The following is a 6370-nucleotide window of genomic DNA, read 5'->3' as shown; positions in this document are numbered from 1 at the left end:
GCCTGTCATAGCAAAGAGAAGATAAAGGTAAGCTTTTCCAGGAACTTCTGAGCTAAAAATAATAAATTGTTGATCTTTCTTTGAATCTGATATAAAAACGTTGATCTCCAACGAGTCCTTGCCTGTGTGTGTGTGTGTGTGTGTGTGTGTGTGTGTGTGTGTGTGAGAAAGTGTCTGAGAAACAGCAAAACAGGTACTATTTAGGCCTGGGTCAGAGTCTGATATTCACATAATTCTCATATGCTATTTCAGTTGGATATTTTTGTGTTCTGTTGTTTCCAGAAGTGATACTAGAGCACTGTAGCTAAGCTACTATGTTTGAAAGGCCAAGAGTTCAGAGACATTCTAAAAAGAAACAAACTAGAAAGCCAGGATATATTGAGAGAGTATGGATTACATCAGGTAGGCACTGGTGTGTGTGAGGCACAGGGCTTGCAGGTTGAGGACACCTCAGCTTACCAGCTGCTCTGAATATTTTCGTTCAAATGGATCTGTAGAATCTGTTGTGTGGATGCAGTAAATGCAGGGAAAGAGAAAGAGTCTACAGCTACAAAATTATTTTCTGCTACAACACCCGTGCGCATGCACACACACACATTGAGGAGCAGTGTTTATGCACCTCTTGAACTCAGTTTTCTTCTAACTATTCTAATTCATTATTTTTCACCTGGCCTGTTTCACCAGCCTTTTAAATTATTTCCCAGCTCCTAGTACATTGTGTAAAGTGTATTACCATTGGACACAAATTTATGTATGTCACTTCTTGGAATCTTTAAAACAAAATCCACATTCATAACTAAGGTATATTTAAGCCAGACAGGAATTGTTTGTGCCTCTACCAGGTTAATAATTTGGCATTCTGTTAAAGCTATAGACTTTCATTCAATCATTTAGATATGAGTCTGAGAATTCCATGAGAAAGGGGGAGAAGGAAGCACTCAGCCTCCTTCTATTCATCATGCACAATTCAGCTGTGGCCCCAAACTTACATAAGTTGTTCTATCAACTTATTAATGAAAGTGAAAGAAACAAGACACCAAAATCTCCACATTGCAGTCATCTTTTTATATGAGACCCAAATGCAGGCAGAACTAATATAGGACGAATGGATACATATTGTATAGGAGAGAGAATTAGCTAGAAGGGGCACATGAAACTTTCTAGGAGATGGAGATATTTTATATCTTGTTTTGTTATCAGAGATGATTCCACAGATGTATACAATTATCAAAATTTATCCAAGTGAACACTTAAGATTTCTGCGCTTTATTTTATGTTAACTTTATCTCAGTAAAAAGAGGCAGTTTAGAGCCATCTGTAGTTGCTTAATCATACTCCTCTGTATCATTCTCTTACAAGTAGCTAATCAGTTTTCTTTGCTAACACATTCAGAACTTGTTCTGAGGAGAATCCTGGTAAATGTACTTTTTCAACATCATTACCTTTCTAATAATTTACTAGCACTCAATGATCTGTCACAGCTCCTTATAAGTAAATGCTCTGAGAAACTACCCCGTTGGTGCAGTCCTAACTTTCGCTCTGACTTCGAGGATATTGACAAATTTATTCCGGCCTACCATTGTAGCTTCATCTTTCACACTGTTTACTACAAAGCCCATATTCATTTCAGCCATACTTTCATTTCATACATATTCATTTCAGCCTATACTTTTTAAAATGTGAAGTAATACATTCACTTGTTTACTCATTCACAAAAGCTTTACTGAGTATATAAATAAAGCTTTTGTGAATGAATAAATAAGCGAATGTATTACCATACAATCATTTTTATTTTAAATAGTGGCAATATGCCATGTTTACATAATGTCTTTCTGTGGTGCATCTCCAGGGCCATACAGTGTTGGTCTGGGGATACATTTTGGTATGAAACTGTTGATACTTCCTGGAAATAGCTTGTAATTTAAACTTGCATACCTTATTTCTTTCACTTCTACTGTTTTAGGGATTCATCCGTGTTGTTGTATGTAACAGATATTTAGTCATTTTAGTGTTGAATAGTATTTCATTTTGTGTGATTCCATGACAATTTGTTGCATTGCATAGCAGTGATGGAGCATGACTACCTGGATTTGCATCTTTCCTTTATCATTCGCCTATGTGCCTCAGTCTTCATTTATGTAAATTGGGAATAATAAAAGTACTTATCTCATAGGGTTTTATGCGTATTAAATGACTGTGTGTGTGGCCCAGAATGTAGCCTGATGCATAGTGTAATATAAATGTTAATTATCCATGTTTTAGTATTATTGTTTGTGCTTCCATGCCGTTGTACTTATTATTCCTTTTCCTTTGGCTTGAATTCTCTGCCTCTTGATTATATAGTCATCCTTGAAAATCTAGCTGTATTTTCACTCCTTGACTCCCCAAGAAGAGTTAATGAATCATTGCATCTTATATGCTTTCATAACATTTCATGCATAAATATGTTAGAGTGTTTTCTTATTGTTATTGTAATTATTAGTTTATATATCCATCTCCCACACTAATTATGAGCCTCTCTGTGACAGAAAAGAAATCCTATTCATAATTTTTCCTCCAGAAACTAGCTCATAGTTCTCAATAAATGATGAACTAATAAATCAGAAGATGCATGAATAATTTGAGACTCAGTCCAGTTTAATAATTCAATTCAACAGCATTGCACACTGTGAATCAGATCTTGAAGATACACAGATGGGCAAAGAGAAGTTCCAGCTTATGAGGGACATGCTATTCAGAATGGCAGATGAAACCATGAACAAACAATAACAACTTGATTGATTTCAGAGGAAGTGATTGGGGTGTACCATTTCAAATACAGTGTGGATGCAGTACAATTCTTGGCTCTAGACTTGTTAATTGGCTTTTCCTCAAGCTGATAGGTTGTTTTTTTAACCACTAATAGAGAAAAATGCACAGAAAGGCCCCACAGACACCCTACCCACTGTGGCTCACAAACTTATGCCCCTTGCTTTTCCACAGTGCCCAGCTTTCCAACACCTGTGCTCTGCTGGGAAGGAGGGGCAAAAAGAAGGAGGAGCTGGACATGAATGCTAGGAAACCCGAGCAGGTGCTGGCCAGCTGAATGGAGACTGAAAGGTAAATTGTGGGGGCCCCCAGAGTGACAGACCAGTAGCTACCTGGGTTTTAGAATAGAAACTATATTAATTGTGATGAGATTTGCATTTATTTCAAGGGAAAAAGCAGTCCAGTCTACATAGGACAGCCTGCCTAGGAGCAAACCCTTAACTAAAAGTGTTTTTAGCTAGACTGACATACGTGGGAAGAGTGGCACCCAGGTCAAATCTGGAGATGTCGATAAGTTAATTATTCATTGCATTAACAGACATTTATTGAGCAAACACTAGGGCCTGCATTGTGCTGGCTTTAAGGAAACAAAGGTGAATAAGGAGATTTCCTGACCAATACATACATACACATGTATTATATACATATATGTTTTTTCCTTTAATTTTTAGTGATATGTAATAACTGCACATATTTATGAGGTACAGAATGATATTTCAATCCATGTGTACAGTATGTAATGATCAAATCAGGGTAGCAAGTGTATTCATCACTTCTAACTTTGATCATTTCTTTATGTTGTGAGCATTCTTCTAGCTTTTTAAAAATTGCTATATTGTTAACCATATTCACCCTACCATGCTAGAGAACACTAAAACTTACTCCTTCTATATTACTGTAACTTCATATTCATTAATGAATCTCTTATCCTCCCCACTCCTTCACAGCTTGAGGGACCTTTATTTACCTTCTACTTGTATGAGATTAACTTTTTTGTTTTTTAGCTCCCACGTTTGAGTGAGAAAGTGGAGTATTTAGTTTTCTGTGCCTGACTTATTTCACCTAACATAACGTCCTCCAGGCACATCCATGTTGCTGTAAATAATAGTATTTCATTATGTGTGTGTATATATATATATATATGTATATACACACATATATATATACATATATACACACATATATATACATATATATACACACACATATATATATATATACACCATATTTTCTTTATTCATCTGTTGATGGACTCTTGAGTTGATTCTATACCTTGGCTATTGTGAATAGTGCTGCAATAAACATGATGGTGCAGGTATCCCTTTGATATATTGATTTTCTTTTCTTTGGATAAATACCCCCAGAAGTGAGCTTGCTGAGTCATATGGTAGTTCTATTTTAGTTTTTTGAGAAATCTACATACTGCTATTCATAATGACTGTACTAATTTACATTCCACCCAACAGTGGATAAGCATTCTCTTTTCTTTGCATTCACACCAACATTTGCTATTTTTGTTGTCTTTTTGATGATAAGGTTCTTAACTGGGTGAGATGGTTTCTCTTTGGCATTTTGATTTGCATTTTCCTGATAATTGGTGATGTTGAGCATCTTTTCATATACTCATCAGCCATTTGTATGTCTTCTTTTGAGAAATGTCCATTCAGATCCTTAGCTCATATTTTAGATGTTTTTTTTGCTCTTGAGTTGTTTTAGTTTCCCGCATATTCTAGATATACTTAGATGTGTTTTATTTCCTCATTCATACATTATAAATGTTTATGAGCTTTTAAGGAAACAAGCACTATGTTAAGCATAAAAGACAATTGGAAGATACATTCTAGTATTTGAAATGTAATAATATGAAAAACGTGTGTTCTAAAATTGAGGAAATACGTTCTACAGTATACTATACATTGTACATACCTAAAACATGTATAACATGTTTACATAATGTATAAAGCATTCAAATAAATGATATTTGAATGATACTTAAGTGTTCAGTGTTTTCCACGCCTGATCTTATTTACACCCTCACCACAATGATATTACAGTGGATAACACATATTAAGCATATACAATGTGCTGACGTTTTATATGAATCTTACCAACAACTGTACCAGGTAGGTGTTAATATATTGTAGATGAGAAAATGAAGGCAAACTTCCCAAGCTCATTGAAATACTTGCCAATGGCCATATACAGTGAGTGGCTAAGCCAGGGTATTGACCCAGACAGGATCCGTGTATTTTTGCTCTAGCCATTAGACATAGTACTTCTTAAAGGTGGATTTTATCCCTATTTCACAAATGAAGAAACCAGAGAGGGTTTCTTCTCTGACCAAGAGGTCAGAGAGGGTGAGTATGTTTTCTGCCACTATAATGTTCATAAGAAGTTAAACCTGAATTTTTAACCCGAACTTATGAATTCTAGTGCCTGTACTTTTTAAAAATGTGAAGGTACTTTTTAAAAAGTACCTATACTTTTAAAAAATGTGAAGTAATACATTCGCTTGTTTACTCATTCACAAAAGCTTTATTGAGTGAGTATATAAATAAGCTTTTGTGAATGAATAAATAAGCAAATGTATTACTATACAATCATTTTTATTTTAAATATTGGCAATATGCCATCTTTACATAATGCCTTTCTGTGGTGCATCTCCAGGGCTACACTATGTTGGTCTGGGGATACATTTGTGTATGAAAATTTTGCGTGATATCTGTTAAATCATACTTGAGGCAATTTACAGGCAATCCCAGCTCTGAAACACATTGCCCTGTAATGCTACATGTCATTAGTATGAACATGTCATTAGTATGAACCAGTAGGTTTAGCTCGTATAGACAAATCTGTAACATTTTAGCCTTCAGCATACAATGCATTTTAATGTACTTCACAAATTATTACCACAAAGTCCATTTAATTTGCACTTTTAAATGGGTTACAAGAACATTTTTGTTTGAGAATATTTGCTAATGGCAATTTTGTTGTGTGTAGAAATTAATATGGAGTACCCTCTCTTTCCAGCTACAGAAGACTCCCAAGCTATAAAAATGCAGCTAGAGCAATATTTTCTAAAGTAACAATGTTACATTTTAAAGTAACACTAAAATTATTATTAAGAATATCTTCTGACCTTGGAAAGTTAAACTCCTTGCTTATTTTATTATCGTCTTACTACTGGAATAACTTGGCTTGTCTGAAGAACCTTAATTTCCATCTTTCACAGAAGTTTTTTCTGAAAGTCATGAGAAAATACACTTTTCACATGTAATTAACAAAGAGAGTATTTCTTAGTACTATAACAAAAACATCTTGAGAGGAAATAGGAAAAATTCAATGTAATTTAAAAATTGTAACTTTTTATTGTATGTAAGCTAAGCTGCTTTTAAGGGATTCATTTTTATGTTTTAGGTAAAGGGTTATATAGAGTTAATGCCATCTATTTTTGCTTTCTCTGGAATGTATGAGATGATATATTGCCTTCTTATTGCTGTTGCCACAAACTAAGTGTTACAACACTGTAACACAGCACTGAAACACACACACACACACACAC

The 6370-nt window shown here is 34.7% G+C and overlaps 1 non-coding gene across 1 annotated transcript; it reads right to left on the bottom strand.

The window, feature by feature from the left end:
• Positions 1-1686: 1686 nt before the first annotated feature.
• On the bottom strand, positions 1687-1773 carry MIR12123 (microRNA 12123). Its single transcript, NR_162137.1, has one exon. It is a non-coding gene; the product is annotated as a microRNA 12123 (primary transcript).
• Positions 1774-6370: the final 4597 nt, after the last annotated feature.

This window comes from Homo sapiens, chromosome 8 (assembly GCF_000001405.40).
Source record: "Homo sapiens chromosome 8, GRCh38.p14 Primary Assembly".
NCBI lineage: Eukaryota > Metazoa > Chordata > Mammalia > Primates > Hominidae > Homo > Homo sapiens.
The sequence above is the reverse complement of the archived record's forward strand: the minus strand, read 5'-3'. Positions and strand labels throughout refer to the sequence as shown.